At 39.3% G+C, this 16,779-nt stretch overlaps 1 protein-coding gene across 27 annotated transcripts in view; it reads right to left on the reverse strand.

The window, feature by feature from the left end:
- The window catches only part of LARGE1 (LARGE xylosyl- and glucuronyltransferase 1), an 856,162-nt gene that overhangs the window by 292,188 nt on the left and 547,195 nt on the right, over positions 1 to 16,779 (reverse strand). The window contains exon 1 of one of the 27 annotated variants that reach the window (XM_011530513.3): positions 522 to 5,253. The exons of 25 other annotated variants lie outside the window; for them this stretch is intronic. In XM_011530513.3, the coding sequence (XP_011528815.1) occupies positions 522 to 554 (33 nt within the window). In that variant the 5' untranslated portion in view covers positions 555 to 5,253. Of the gene's footprint in view, positions 1 to 521; positions 5,682 to 16,779 lie in introns of those variants that run through there. One more of the 27 variants, XM_024452303.2, reaches the window with a different exon arrangement.

Consider the following 16,779-nt stretch of genomic DNA (forward strand, 5'->3'; position numbering starts at 1 on the left):
AGCCAGGTGTGGTGGCAGGCACCTGTAGTCCCAGCTACTCGGGAGGCTGAGGCAGGAGAATGGTGTGAACCCGGGAGGTGGAGCTTGAAGTGAGCCGAGACTGCACTATTGCACTCCAGCCTGGGCGACAGAGTGAGACTCCATCTTAAAAAAAAAAAAAAAAATTCAAATGTCCTTTCAAGGATATAGTATTATTAAGGGGCTCTGTTCTGGAGTTAACCCTCTAAAACCCACTTAATCCAAACAGAGTTCATGCAGAATAGCCCTACACAAGAGGGACTGTATACAGTCCCATACAATAGTTCTATACAGTCATTATGTTATATATCATGTTTTCATTGGAAAATATTTTCAGGTAGAAACTCATTGCTGTATCAGAGGAAAATGCTGCGGACTTGGAATCAGACAGATGTGAGTTGGAATCTCAGCTCTGTCATATTTAGCTGTGTGACTGGGCAAGAAAAGTGACTTAACCTGTGTGATCCTTCATTTTCTGACTTATAAAATGAAAAAAGATTTACCTTGTGAGACTTGGGAAGATTAAGTGAGGTCATGCCTGGAACACCATTCCCAGCCAATCATCCTGGAAAACTCCTTTTCATCTTTTGAGGCCCACAATGAAGCTGTGACAGCTCACTTCTGTAGGATAAACACACCTGAGAGCAGCAACTTAAGCAACCCTTAGAACGACCCTGTATGGCAGACTCATCTTTTTTTTTTTTTTTTTTTTTGAGATGGAGTCTCGCTCTGTTGCCAAGGCTGGAGCTCAGTGGCGCGATCTTGGCTCACTGCAAGCTCCGCCTCCCGGGTTCACACCATTCTCCTGCCTCAGCTTCTCGAGTAGCTGGGACTACAGGCGCCCACCACCACGCCCGGCTAATTTTTTTGTATTTTTAGTAGAGATGGGGTTTCACTGTGTTAGCCAGGATGGTCTCGATCTCCTGACCTTGTGATCTGCCCGCCTCGGCCTCCCAAAGTGCTGGGATCACAGGCGTGAGCCACCGCACCCAGCCAGCAGACTCATCTTAACGTGTGTTCTGAGCTAGACAATCTAGGAGTGGCCAACCCAGAGATTCCTTCCTTGTCTATAAGGAACATCTGAGCCCATATATGGGACCAAAGTCCTGAGTTTTGGGTTAAATGAAGGTTGCCAGTTAGAGTTCTGTATTAGTCCATTCTTACATTGCTATAAAGAAATCACATCTGTAATCCCTGCACTTTGGGAGACTGAGGTGGGCAGATCACTTGAGGTTCGAGTTTGAGACCAGTCTGGCCAACATGGTGAAACCTCGTCTCTATTAAAAATACAAAAATTAGCCAGGCGTAGTGACGTGTGCCTGTAGTCCCAGCTACTTGGGAGGTTCAGGCAGGAGAACTGCTTGAACCTGGGAGGTGGAGGTTGCAGTGAGCCAAGACCACGCCACTGTGCTCCAGCCTGGGCAACAGAGCAAGGCTGTGTCTCCAAAAACAAAAACAAAAAAACCCTGAGGGCTGGTAATTTATAAAGAGGTCTAATTGGCTCATGGTTCTGCAGGCTGTACAGGAAGCATAGTGGCATCTGCTTCTAGAGAGGCCTCAGGAAACTTACAATCATGGCAGAAGGGGCATGGCAGAAACTTACACATGTCTTATGTGGGCCAGAGCAGCAAGAGAAAGAGGGAGGAGATGCTATACACTTTTAAACAATCGGATCTTGTGAGAACACTATCATAAGAACAACACGATGCGGATGGTGCTAAACCATTCATGAGAAACCACCCCCATGATCCAAGCACCTCCCAGCAGGCCCCACTTCCAGCACTGGGGATTACACTTCAACATGAGATTTGGAGGGGGACACAGATTTAAACCGTATCAAGGTCATTAGTGGGAGAGTGTTAAGTGAAAATGCTATATAAACTGCGTGATGTTTGCAGATAATTGCAGTTTTCCTGCCCAGCCCACCGCCACTGGGCTGTACGAAGGCAGGTATCTTGTCCAGCCCACTGCCACTGGACTCTTTCTGTACATAAGGCAGCTCTCCTGTCCAGCCTGCTGCCGCTGGACTCTCTCCCCTGTATGTAATCCCGATAAAACCCCATGTCGGCCGGGCACAGTGGCTCACGCCTATAATCTCAGCACTTTGGGAGGCCGAGGCGGGTGGATCACGAGGTCGGGAGTTCAAGACAAGCCTGCCCAACATGGTGAAACCCAGTCTCTACTAAAAATACAAAAATTACAGGCGTGCACCACCATGCCTGTAATCCCAGCTACTCGGGAGGCTGAGGCAGAATTGCTTGAACCTGAGAGGTGGGGGTTACAGTGAGCCGAGAATGCGCCATTGCACTCCAGCCTGGGTGACAGAGCAAGACTGTTTAAAAAAATAATAATAATAAATAAATAAATAAAAATAAAAATAAACCATGTCTGGTTCTGGTTTGCTGTCTCTGGGTCTCTTCTTCAGCCTCTTGGAGCTGATGACTTTCCTAATGAGGTTCACAGGGGTTTGACACAACAACTTCCTCTGAAATGTACTTCCTGTTGATTCCAGAAAGAGCTCAATGCATTCTACATAAACATTTTTGAAGCAATGGCCCAGCTGTGTGCATCTATTTCTTCTTAACTTGCATTTGGGTTTCCACTCTTTCTCGTGTAGTCCTTGCACTTACTCCCTGCTCTGGAGATATGAGCAGGGGAGGAGCAGCAGTTTTCACAGGACTGTGGAGAGGGGCAGCAAGGATGTTTTGGGGCTGAGGGGTAGTGTGAGGGCAGCAGATGGGGAAGGAAGAGAGTTCAGGTGTCTGGGAGTTTGGATATCAAGATTCAGCTCAGGTTTCCTATCTGAATCTGAATTCCTTGAGATTCAGATTCTGCATCACACTCCCCAACTGGCTCAGAGTCCCTCCTCTTTAGAGTCCCTCCTCTTTAGAGTCCCTCCTCTTGCTCTGTTAGGCTCCCTCACTTCCTTACATCACAGCACCTAGCAGACTCTATTGGAATTTTCCATTACTCACCAATTAGGTCTCACTAGAGACTTTTCTGAGAGCAGGAACCATGGCTCACTCAGCTCTGGGACTCTAGAAACCCCTAGAGAGACCCATTGGTAGACCCTCTGCTTTCCCTTTCCTGGTCATTACCAACTGATTCTGGCCAGAGCTTCATTCTCTAATGGTCCATCAAAGGCTCAAGAACTAGAGCAAAGTTTCACAGAATTCTCTCATGCTCCTTTCTGTAAACCAGCACACTACACACTCTGGTCTCCTAAGAGTTTGTGCCACTGGTAAAGTGATAAAAAGATGCTCCCTTGGGCCCTTCCCTTCTCTTTTTAATTTAAGACTCAGCCAGGGAAGGCTGAGTTATCAAGCGTAAGGACTAAAGAGATAACAATGAAGGTCCTGAAACACAAAGACTGAGGTAAAGTCAAGTGTATTTCTATGGAGCACTCAAGGGGCATGGCTGAGAATGGGGCAAAGAATAATGGCCTCAATTTTCTCAATAATGTAACTGAACCTGGGAGAGGTTAAGTGATTTACTCAAGTCCTTCAGTTGGTAAGAAGCAAAACTGTCATCAGAATTTACAAGATTGCTTGGCTCCCAAAGGATATACACTTTTGCCTCTTCAGTGAAAACACCTCTCCCCTTAGAAGTTCTCTTAACCAACCTCTACTTAGCACAAAGTTCTCCATGGACACCTAGGGCAAAGTAGATGCCCAAGGCTGGTAAGCCTCTCGCTAGTAGGATGTCAGAGGATGTCTGTTCCTACAAATGGGCTCTGTGCTCAGCAAGAGTGAGCTGTGATTATTACCGAAGGTGTTTTTCTATCTTGTGTTTCTAATGCAATTGGAAATCTAATTAAATATTATTTGAGTTTATGGTATGTAACTACAAAGAATTGCTGTTTCCCTGAAAGGCAAACTAAACGCTTTGCAACAGCTCAATGAAAAGAAGTCCCTAAACAAATTTGCTTTTGTGTTAGGTGTGGGTGAGACTAAAGGGGGGAAAATAGAACTAACCCAGGACCGTCCTCCAATTGTTTTGGAAGAGTCCTTAAGTTCTTGTTTCACTTTGAATGAAAGGACACCGATAACCACAGAAGATGCATGAGGGTGGTTTATGCAAGATAATACAGCACTCAATTAGCAGATCAAAAAACCTGGCCTGTGGATGAAAAGAAAGCAAATCAAGGTTAAAATATTTTTATGATTCTCGCTTTAAATGACATTTTCAATCATCTGACCCAGCATGGGGCTCCCGCTTTTCCCACAGGGGGCTGCTCAGGTTGACTCTCCTTTGGAGTAGCAGAGTGTGAGCTGAGGGAGACCAGGAGAGGCAGGGTCCCCCTGTCTACAGTAGTATCTGCACACATTCCAAAACCCAGAATGGTTGCCTGAAACCATGCAATAGTGCTGTATAAGTCCGTTTTCACGCTGCTGATAAAGACATACCCAAGACTGGGTAATTTATAAAGAAAAAGAGGTTTAATGGAGAACTCACAGTTCCGTGTGGCTGGGGAGGCCTCACAATCATGGTGGAAGGTGAAAGGCATGGCTTACATTGGCAACAGGCAAGAGAAAGAATGAGACCCAAGGGAAAAGGGAAACCCCTTATAAAACCATCAGATCTCATGAGACTTATTCACTGCCACAAGAACAGTATGGGGAAAATCACCCCCGTGATTCAATTACGTAACTCCCACTGGGTTCCTCCCACAACACATGGGGATTATGGGGGCTACAATTCAAGATGAGGTTTGGGTGGTGATACAGCCAAACCGTATCACGTACCTAACTCCATACCATGTTTTTTCCTATACATACATACTTATGATTAGTTTAACTCATAATTAGGCACAGTGAAAGATTAATAACAATAAATTATAATAAAACTGAATAATTATAATACGTCAGCACCACTGCTTTTGCACTTTGGAGCCATGACGAAGTAAAATTAGGGCGACTTGAACACAAGCATTGCGATCCCAGAGAGTCAATCTGATAACTGAGATGGCTACTAAGTGATTCACAGGCCAGTAGTGCAGACAGCATGGAGATGCTGGATGAAGGGATGATTCACCTCCCGGGTGGGACTGAGCGGGATGGTGAGACCCTCTGGGTCCTCTTGGTGCCTGGACATTTCTGTGGAGCCCTCAGGGATGACCCAAGAACACCGTCTGTCCCACCAGGCCAATCTGGGTCTCAGAGTCCTGGTCAAAGTGCATCTTTGCTATATATTTTTTTTTTTTTGAGACGGAGTCTCGCTCTGTCGCCCAGGCTGGAGTGCAGTGGCGCAATCTCGGCTCACTGCAAACTCCGCCCCCCGGGTTCACGCCATTCTCCTGCCTCAGCCTCCCGAGTAGCTGGGACTACAGGCGCCCGCCACCACGCCCGGCTAATTTTTCTTTGTATTTTTAGTAGAGACGGGGTTTCACCGTGTTAGCCAGGATGGTCTCCATCTCCTGACCTCGTGATCCGCCCGCCTCGGCCTCCCAAAGTGCTGGGATTACAGGCGTGAGCCACTGTGTCCGGCCTATTTTCATTCTTTTTCTCCGCTTCCTCCCATCTTTTGTTTTTTCAATCCCGTTCCGCGTTTACGAAGGACCTCCTAATTGCTGTTTTTTATGTTCTTCCCTTGGGAGTACAACAGCCTCTCCTTACTCGGGGTTTTGCTTTTCTCCACTTCAGTTACCAGAGGTCAACCACTGTCTGAAAATATTAAATGGAAGATTCCAGAAATAATTCATATTTTAAATTGCATGCCATTTTAAGTAGCATGTTTCATGCCACTTTACATAAGTCATTTAAGTTAAATAATACAGTATTTGTCCTTTTGTGTTTGGCTTAGGTCACTAAGCATAATGTCCTCAAAGTTCATCCAAGTTATAGCATATGTCAGTTTTTTGTTTTGTTGCCCAGGTTGGAGTGCAGTGGCACAATCACAGGTCACTGCATCCTCTGCCTCCTGGGTTCATGCAAACGTCCCACCGCAGCCACCCAAGTAGCTGAGACTACAGGCACATGCCACCATGCCGGCTAATTTTTTATTTTTTGTAGAGACGGGGGTCTTACTATGTTGCCTAGGCTGGTCTCAAACTCCTGGGCTCAAGCAATCCACCTGCCTCAGCCTCCCAAAGTGCTGAGATTACTGGCATGAACCACCATGCCTGACCTTCAGAATTTTATCCCTTTTCAAGGCCTGCCAAAGTTTTTAGTTGTACTTATTTTTATGTTTTTATTTTTGATATAAAAAGACTTGAGAGTTTAGAAGTCTCCTGTGCCCTGCCTGGTCAAGAAATGTCATTCATCAGGAGGACACAGGCCTTCCAAAGCACTACTTCTATCTGTTGTAATTCGCTCACTGATGGCTGAACCTGACTTTCTTTAGAAAGTCATCCACTTCTCCATTTGTGACCTATTACATCCAAGACCCAGATTGTAAGGTATATTCCACTTCAATTTTTCAATATAGTGCCAAAGTGTTTTCCAATTTGGTGTATCCATACACACTCCTATGGGTGACATAACAGACCACTGGTCAACTGAGACTTGATAGTATCACTCTTCCAATTTGGTGGCTATAAAATTATTTGTGGTCTTAATTTTCACTTCCCTGATGAACAGCGAGGCTATATATCTTTTCATGTGTTTATTGGCCATTTGCCTGGCAACCAAGTGAAAGGACTGTTTACATGTTTTACAGATTTATCATTCAATATTAAGAGTTGCTTATATATTTTGTTTAGTGCTCTCTTGTCAGTTACATGTGTTGAAGTATCTTTTGCTTTTCTCTCTTTTTTTTTTTTTTTTGAGATGGAGTCTTGCTCTGTTGCCTAGGCTGGAGTGCAGTGGCACAATCTCGGCTCACTGCAACCTCTCCACCTCCCGGGCTCAAGAAATTCTCCTGCCTTAGCCTCCTGAGTAGCTGGGACTACAGGCATGCGCCACCACGTCTGGCTAATTTTTGTATTTTTAGTAGAGATGGGGTTTCACATGTTGGCCAGGCTGGTATCGAACTCCTGAGCTCAAGTGAGGCACCTGCCTTGGCCTCCCAATGTGCTGGGATTACAGGCGTGAGCCACTGCACCTGGCCTGCTTTTCTCTTTTTAATGCCTGTTTGATTGAGTTATTGATATCAATGTGATTAAATTTACGGATTCATTCATTTATGGTATGCGTTTTTGATGTCTTGTTGAATACATACTTCTCCATTCTGAAGTCTTAAGGCCAGTTTCCCTTTTCATTTAAAAAATAAAAGTTTAATTTGGCCCTTCACTTTCTAAGTTTCTAATCCGTCTGGAATTAATTTTATGCATGGTATGAGACAGGGATCCACTTAAATTTTTTCCATGTGGATAATCAGGTGTCTCAGCACAGTTTATGGAAAACTTAATCATTTCTTCAATGATCAGGTATGTTGCCTCTTCATATACCAAAATGCTTTCATAAATGTGTGTGTGCTCTTGCACGCTCTCCTCTTTCCAACTAATTGCACGGCCCTGAGCAAATGCTCAGCAATAGTTTACTGTAGGTTTTCACTAGTTACTATTTATGAGAGTTTTTATCATGAATGAGCACGTAATTTTGTCAAATAACTTTCCTTCATCTGTTTATATGATTATTTGGTATTTCTCCTTTAATCTATTAACATGCTGAATGACACGTGGATTTTTCAATGCTAAATCACTCTTGTCTTTCCTGGAACAAACCCAACTTGGCAATGATATATTATCTATTTTATACATGGCTAGATTTGGTTTGCTAAATATTTTGCTTAAGATTTTTGCATCTATATTCATGAGTGAGACTGGCTTGCAATCTTCCTGTCTTTGTGACGTGACTTTGCTTCTCTTTCGTCTTCCGCCATGATTGTGAGGCCTCCCCAGCCCTGTGGAACTGTGAGTCAATTACACCTCTTTCCTTTATAAATTACCTAGTTTCAGTCTCGAGTATGTCTTTATTAACAGCATGAGAACAGACTAATGCACTTTTTTTTTGTCTGATTTTGGTGTTGATAATATCCTGGCTTTGCTGAATGGGTTAAAAAGTGTTCCTCTTTTCATATTCTCTAGAAAAGTTTATTTAAAATTGGAAATGTCCTTGGATTAAAAAAAATTGGTAGAACTTATTTCTACTTGCCGTCTAGGGGTACTGTTTTAAAAAGGTTTAATGGCTAGAAGATAATCTAAACTTTATACTTTTTTCTTAAATCGGTTTTGGTAAGTAACACATTTCTAGGAATTTGTCCATTTAACAAAAATTCTCAAATTTGTTCACATAATGTTGTTCACAGTATTCTATTTTTTTTTTCAATTCTGCTAATTGATTGAAAGCTCCACCAACTGAGACTGTTTGCTTTATCTTTGCTGTATATCTAGAACTCAGAAGTCACTTGCTCAAAAACAATGAGAGAATGAGTAAGTGGATCTGGAATTAGGTGCCCCTATTCATTTCTTGGTGAGTTCACTTTCTTTTTTCTTGATGAGTCTCGCCATAGGTTTGTCTATTTTATTGGTCCCTTTCAAACTTTTGACTTTATTGATCAATTTGCTGACCAACTTCAATTTGATTGCATTTGAATTTAATGTTCTGTTCTGTTGTGTTTTGTTTTTAGAGACAGGGTCTCATTCTGTTACCCAGGCTGTAGTACGGTGGTGCAATCACAGTTTACTGCAGTCTGGAGCTCCTGGGCTCAAGTAATCCTGCCTCAGCCTCTCTAGGAACTGGGACTTGAGTAGCTACCACCACTGCCCCACTCCCATCCCCCCATTTATTTATTTTTTGGTAGAGATGGAGGTCTTGCTTTGTTGCTGAGGCTGGTCTTAAACTCCTGAACTCAAGGGATCCTCCCATCTCAGCCTCCCAAGTTGCTGGGATTACAGGCATGAGTCACCAGGCCCGGCCAACTCTAACGTTGTTTATATTAATATATCATCTTGAGTTGCAAACTTGGCTTATTAATTTTCAACTTTTCTTCTTTTTAATATAAACATTTAAGGATATACATTTCCTTACATGTTATTTTATCCCACTAATTTTGACATATTATTTTTATTTTCATTTAGGCTCTAAGTAGTTTTCAATTTAAATTATTTATGTTTAGAACCATGAGTAATGTAAAAGTATGTTTTCAATTGTAATCAAATAGATTTTTAAAAACCTTATTGTTACTGCCTTCTTATTTAATTTTGCTTTCTTCAGAGAACTATAGTATAATATCATTCTTTGAAATGTATTGATGTCTAGTACTTGGTTTCTTTTTAATAAATGTTCCATATGAGCCTAAGAAGGATGTATACTCTCAGATCATTAGGTACAAGGTTCCTTATTTGCCCAATAAGTCAACATGTTAACTGTGTAGTTTAAATCTTCTATAGTCTTAGTAATTTTTGTCTTTTGATATTTCAACATTTGAAAAAAAATATGGGCTGGGTGCGGTGGCTCATGCCTGTAATCCCAGCACTTTGGGAGGCCGAGGTGGGAGGCCGATCACCTGAGGTCAAGAGTTTGAGACCAGCCTGGCCAACATGGCGAAACCCCATCTCTACCAAAAATGCAAAAATTAGCCAGGCGTGGTGGCGGGCACCTGTAGTCCTAGCTACTTGCGAGGCTGAGGCAGGAGAATCGTTTGAACATGGGAAGTGAAGGTTGCAGTGAGCTGAGATCATGCCACTGCACCACAGCCTGGGCAACAGAGCAAGACTCTTTCTCAAAAAAAAAAAAAAAAAAAGGAAAAAAGAAAAAATATGTTAAATATTCCAAGATGAAAATGGACTTATCAATTTCTCCCTGGAGTTCTAATGAGCTCTGTGTGTGTGTGTGCCTGTTTGTGTATATGTATTTGGACAGATATATATACAGGCATAACTTGGAGATATTGTGGGTTTGGTTTCAGACTACTGTAATAAAGTGAATACCACATGAAGTGAATCACATTTTTTGGTTTTCCGATACATATAAAAATTATGTTTAAACTACACTGTACTCTGTTAAGTGTACAACAGCATTATGTCTAAAAAAATACGTACTTTAATTAAGAAATACTTTATTTCTAAAAAATGTTAATGATCACCTGGCCTTCAGTGAGTCACAATCCTTTTGCTGGTGGAGGGTCCTGTCTTGGTGTTGATGGCTGCTGACTGATCAGGGTGGTGGTTGTTGGAAGGTTGGGGTGGTTGTGGCCAATTTCTTAAAATAAGGTAACAATGAAGTTTCCCACATGGATCGACTCTTCCTTTCATGAAAAGTTTCTCTGTAGCAATTGATGCAGTTTGATAATTCTTACCTACAATAGAACTTCTTTCAAAATTGGAGCCAATCTTCTCAAATCCTGCCCCTGCTTTATCAACTAAGTTTATGTAGTATTTTAAATCAGATATAATAACAATGAACATTACCAAAATGTCACAGGAAGAGACACAAGTCCAAAATCCTGACATTCTCAGATAGGATTTATGGAATTTTCTTTGCTCTCAAGAGATTGATAAGAAATAGAATGGGATTCTCCCACATGAAGGTGTGCCAGGTTTTCAGAGACTCCAGCTAATTACAAGGCTTTCCTCATGCATGTTTTTGGATCAACAGCCACAACACAGATTATTTGAACTCCCCAAGCTTCTTTTTTCTATTTTCTTGGTTTTTTTTTCCCCAAATTAAGAGTTTGTGATTATATAGATAACAGAGCCTTCTTAGTTCTCTATCTCTACTTTTTTTACTGCCTACTTTAAATCTGGTGACTTTTCTTTTTCTTTTTTATTTTTGAGACAGAGTCTTGCTCTATAGCCCAGACTGGAGTGCGGTGGCACGATCTAGGCTCACTGCAACCTCTGCCTCCAGGCAGGGTTCAAGCAATTCGCCTGCCTCAGCCTCCTGAGTAGCTGGGATTACAGGTGCACATCACCACACCCGGCTAATTTTTATATTTTTAGTAGAGACGGGGTTTCACCATGTTGGCCAAGCTGGTCTCGAATTCCTGAACTCAAGTGATCCACCTGCCTTGGCCTCCCAAAGTGCTAGGATTACAGGCGTGAGCCACTGTGCCTGGCCTAAATCAGTTGACTTTTCTGCTGGTGTTGAGATAAAATTCAGTGCTTATGGCATTCTAGCCAAGATTAAAAAAAAAAAAAAGTCTTAAAGGGCTTTTAAATAAATGGCTTTACATATTACAACAGCTCCAAAGTAACCAACAACCTAGACATCTTTTGCAAATGTAAATTTGGGTTTGCCTGGCTACCAATTGCTTAGGATGCTAGAGCAGTTAACTAAGGGGACTGATAGCCTAAAATAATAAAAATTAGATAAATCATTATGAAGGTTAGGCTCTCAGGTCAAAATCTTGAGGTCAGAACAGTAATATAAGGTATCTCTTTCCAGCATAAAAACTGTTGTGTCTGCCACACAGGGGCCGTTAAAAAAAAATAGCTGGAAAACAAAACTCTTGTTAAGATGCTTCCCCATAACCATTGACTAGCAAAGGGGATCAGTGAACAAAGATAAATGTGTTACTAATTCAAGGCCACTGGAGATTTTGTTTTTCTTATACAATTCGTCACTCCCAGCTAAAATGTAAACTCATTTGAAGCTGAAGAAAGGAAACAAAAAAAGGTAAAAGAGGTTTTTTAAAAAATCAAACTGCTTTATCCAAAACTTTGATCCATAGCCTTCACTAGATTAGCATTTAAGTTTAGCTATGTAAAAAGGTCCCAATTTTGAGAGAAATATAATTTGAATGCAATCGTTGTTTATAAATGGGTGAGTTTGTATTACTATCTCATGGCTAAAATTCTAAAATAAAAGCAGTAAGATCTTTGTGTATGTATGTCTATGTGTTTAGGTGTGGTTACCAACATGTACATGTATTATGTTATATAATATGTTATGTTGTATTTACAAAGTAAAATCTGGAATAGGTGTTATAATAATACATATTATATTATAGAACATTATTATTGCATTATAAATATTAATATTATCAAATCATTAAATACCATCAATAATTTAACACTGTTAAATTAAATAATTGATATTAATATTAATAAATTAATAATATTCAATAATTATTGAATATTAATGGATATAACAATGAATAGTATTCATATAACATAACATGAATAATACATATAACATTTATCATTTTATATATGTTATGTCTACATAGTAAAATCTAAGAAATGTAAAATAAAATGTATAATGAAATATAATATTCATAGTATATTCATAGAACACGAATAATACATGTTATAGAATAACATGTTATATGAATAATACATATTATATAACATGCATTATGTTAGATAATATATGTTATGCTGTATCTACATAGTAAAATGTGGAATAGTTGGCCAAAAAAAAAACTCCTAAGAAATTTTATTTTGATTGGCTTAGATGAATTATCACACATATAAAATATATAGTAATTAACCCAAATGCCTTTTAGTTCCTGTGACTTAAATAAAACTTTGATAAATAAGATGGTTTTTAAATCATTGGTAAAATAAAAATGGAAATATCTTCGAAACTGGCAGCATACATTTTTGGCTGGGTTTTGTATTTGTTTCTGCTACATGTTTTAAAGTCATGAAGCTATGAAGTCAACTTGAAAACAGAATAATCTTTGTGTAACTCCTTGATAAGTAGGACTAATTTAATATTGGTTTAATAAAAACAGTTGTAGCTTCTGAGTTACAGGCAAAATACTTGTGTATTTTACTTTCAGGCTCTTACTTAAACAAACACCTGATATTCACAAAATACAAAAATGGTTAACAGGACAATAACTTGAAATGATGATTCGCTTTGTGTAATATTTCAGTTTTCATAAGTAATCTAGGTGAATTGTTAAAAATCAGTAAATTAGGTAAATGTAAATGGAGTAAATGTTTGCCGGGCGCGGTGGCTCACGCCTATAATCCCAGCACTTTGGGAGGCCGAGGTGGGTGGATCATGAGGTCAGGAGATCGAGACCATCCTGGCTAACACGGTGAAACCTCGTCTCCACTAAAAATACAAAAAATTAGCCGGGCATGGTGGCGGGCGCCTGTAGTCCCAGCTACTCGGGAGGCTGGGGCAGGAGAATGTTGTGAATGTGGGAGGCAGAGCTTGCAGTGAGCTGAGATTGCACCACTGCACTCCAGCCTGGGCGACAGAGCGAGACTCCATCTCAAAAAAAAAAAAAAAGTTTATAAAATAAACATTTGGAATAAATGGAATGTGGAATAAATGTTTATAAAATAACTTTTCATGTACTTTAAAATCATAAGGTTATGCTATGTTACATTAAATAAAAAACACTCATCAAATGTCTGGGTCATTTCCATAAAAATAAGAACAAATTGCTGAACATAAATATAAGTTGTTTTCAGCTTCTTAAATATATTTGAGTCTATTAAAACATGCTTCTAAAAATTATAAAATAGTTCTTATTACAAAATGCTGATATGTGACAGAGAATTCAAAATTTTTGGCTTCCTAGGTTTTCACTAGAAATTAAGGTTACTAAGAATAAAATCCTAATTAATTTATATATAATTCTGTATACAAAGTGTATTAATCCATTTTCATGTTGCTGATAAAGACATATCCAAGACTGGGTAATTTATAAAGAAAAAGAGGTTTAAGGGACTCACAGTTCCACGTGGTTGAGGAGGCCTCACAATCAAGGTGGAAGGCAAAAGGCAAGTCTTACATGGCAGCAGGCAAGACAGAGTGAGAGCCAAGCAATAGGGGAAACTTCTTATAAAACCATCAGATCTCGTAAGACCTATTTACTACCATGAGAAATTTGTGGGGGAAACTGCTCCCATGATTCAATTATTTCCACCAGGTCCCTCCCACAACATGTGTTAATTGTGGGAGCTACAATTCAAGATGAGATTTGGGTGGGGACACAGCCAAATCATATCACAAAGTATACCAAAATAAGATGTGTTTTGATGAATGAAATTACAAGGCATAAAAATATGTTTCTTACTGAGAAAATAGAATAATTTTGTCCAGTTCAGAGGTTACTTAAAGGTTGCCTCGAAAAGTATATTTAGAATGGAAATAGAAACAAGACAGACAGGAATCCATAAGTAGGAGAGTAATATGAAGAAAGTTATGGATATAAGGATGTATTTTTGGTAAGGATAGTTAAAAAGAAAAGAGCATTTCCTATGAGAAACAATCTTATGTGGTAAATTTTTGTCTTAAAGTAAAATGACTGGTTATTTAATAAAGAGAAAGTAAAGGACAAAGCAGAAAGTTTAAGCATGTTGTAAAAGGTCTGAGTAAGTCACGATAAAGTTTATGAAGGATAAATTTATAAAAGAAATTGTGGGTGTGATCAAGTTGCCTGTAATTAGAAGGCAATTATTTATAAGCCTTCCTAAAGATTGAGCTTTGCTATTAAAAATACACTAAAACAAAACTAAAATTTTCATCCCCTATGTTAGAACAACAAGGTTTTCTTGAAGTACTGATCTGCTCTTAGTAAAACCATAAGAGATCATAATTTTTAATTCTGAAATCTGTTTAACTGCCATCTTCTGAACTGCAGTTTCTATTTCTGCAAAATTTCTTCCTGAGATCCATTTAATTTCCCTAGTTTTGGGTTAGAAATGCTGTCTTCTTCATTTAGAATGGTAATTTCACTTCTTGAGGCAGAGGTTTCCTCTGGAAGCTTTTCAGATTCATGTCTCAGAAGTTCAACTTTTGCTATATCTTGCTGCATGTGATTTTCAGGTCATACATCATTGCCTTCTGCTCTTCGTCTTTCTACCCTTGAGAAGGCCTGGGATAACTCTCTCCTTTAAGTTTTCCATTCCTTCCTGTAACTGTTTTTTTTCCCCCAGTTCTAACTCTGCTATTATGGCTTGTCCATTAAATGTTTATCTTGGGTACGGTGGCTTATGCCTGTAATCCCAACACTTTGGGAGGCTGAGGCAGGCAGATCATGAAGTCAGGAGATCGAGACCATCCTGGATAACATGGTGAAACCCTGTCTCTACTAAAAATACAACAAATTAGCCACGTGTGGTGGCACGCGCTTGTAGTTCCAGCTACTCGGGAGGCTGAGGCAGGAGAATCACTTGAACCCGGGAGGTGGAGGTTGCAGTCAGCCGATATCGCGCCATTGCACTCCAGCCTGGGGATAGAGTGAGACTCCGTCTCAAAAAAAAAAAAAAAAAAAAAAAGTTTATCTTGAAGGCCTACAAAGGCAATGTCTTCCACCAGTATACCTTGATTTTGTACTCTTGGCTTTTCTTGACATGTCGGAATTATCCCATGTAACCAAGAAACTTCCCGTGCTATTACTAAGGACCATGTATTCCCCTGCTCAAGGTGCTAGTTTTCTTGTTTACATTCCTGTATAATATGGTATACATTCCTAACCTTGGACTCATTCTTTCTATGTCAGATTAAATTCAAGTACCCTTTTCATCAGGTCGACTACCTGGTTATCTATTATACATTGGCTTCTCACAAGGAGAAGCAATCAACCTGCTGAAGTTGTTTCTTACCTTTTTAATAACTGGCCTAAGAAACAAACATTTTATATGTTATCAATATAATTTCCTGTGTTATCTTTATTCAGTATTTGATTACTTAGGAAAATGGAGTTTTGAAAGCACTAAGATTCCACGTAAGTTTCTCTATCGTCTTTTGATAATCACTCTGGTTACATGAATGACTATTACTTCACAGTAACTTCTTATCAAGTGCTTTCAACCTTTTAAAATCTTTGGCAGGTTTCCATGAATCAAAATTCTAACTTAAGTTTTATTGACCTGAAATTAACTTTTGGATTTTCCAGAGACTCTGGAGAGTCTCAAAGAATGTATCTCTCATCTTGTAGAAATATTAAATGATTAGTCTTATTTTGTGAACTGCATGCTAAATGCTGTCAAATAATAAGTGATACTAGATCTTCTTTGCATTACATTTATGGGTATCTACCCAAATTATATAAAATTCTTAAAAATCTAATATGACATTAGTTAAAATTCTAGACATTATGTTGTGTGGCACAAAAATAACTAAATTTCCATGTTAATTGCTTATTATAATGAACTCCCATCAGATTTTTAGCCATGGCTATTCTAAGTTTTTATCCACAGCTATTGTTTTGAATTCTTCTTTAAAGGCATTTGCAAGCAAATTTATGGAAGCGACTCTAACAAGTACTCTTAGATATAGGTTAATAAAAACTTTAAGATCAATGGACTAAATGCAAATGTTTGAGAACTCCAATGAAGAAACATGAATTCATGAAACTACTAATCAAGCTCAAGCAGAACAAAAATAAATTGCATGAGATTAAGTAACTGATAATGTTTTTGACTTTTATTTAAAACACTGTTAGTTCTTCACTTAAATGTTTTGTTTTCCAGATTTAAGGAAATTTTCTTCCCTAAGCTGTCTATAGTGCACAATGATTTGGTAAACTATATATTTGTGAACAAGGTAGAAGCATTTCCTTCTTCCAATTTTCTCTCTCCAAAGTTTGGAGAGATTTTGTGAGTATTCTTATTTTTTACGGTAATATGGTTATTTATACAAGTTCAATAACATTTGCTCTCTCTGCCTGCCACAGTGGCTCATGTCTGTAAGCCAGGTGGGCAGACCCCTTGAGGCCAGGAGTTTGAGACCAGCCTGGCATACATGGTGAAACTCTGTCTCTCCTAAAAATAAAAAAAAAATTAACTCTCTCTCTATAGCAGGATACAATGGCAACAATTGGTTATATCATCAAGGCTTTGACTGAAATGTCATATCTGAGAATATGTATAAACTGCCTGACTTCTAGGGTTCTCAGCCTTAGAGTAGA

The sequence above is a fragment of the Homo sapiens genome, chromosome 22 (genome assembly GCF_000001405.40).
Source record: "Homo sapiens chromosome 22, GRCh38.p14 Primary Assembly".
Classification (NCBI taxonomy): domain Eukaryota; kingdom Metazoa; phylum Chordata; class Mammalia; order Primates; family Hominidae; genus Homo; species Homo sapiens.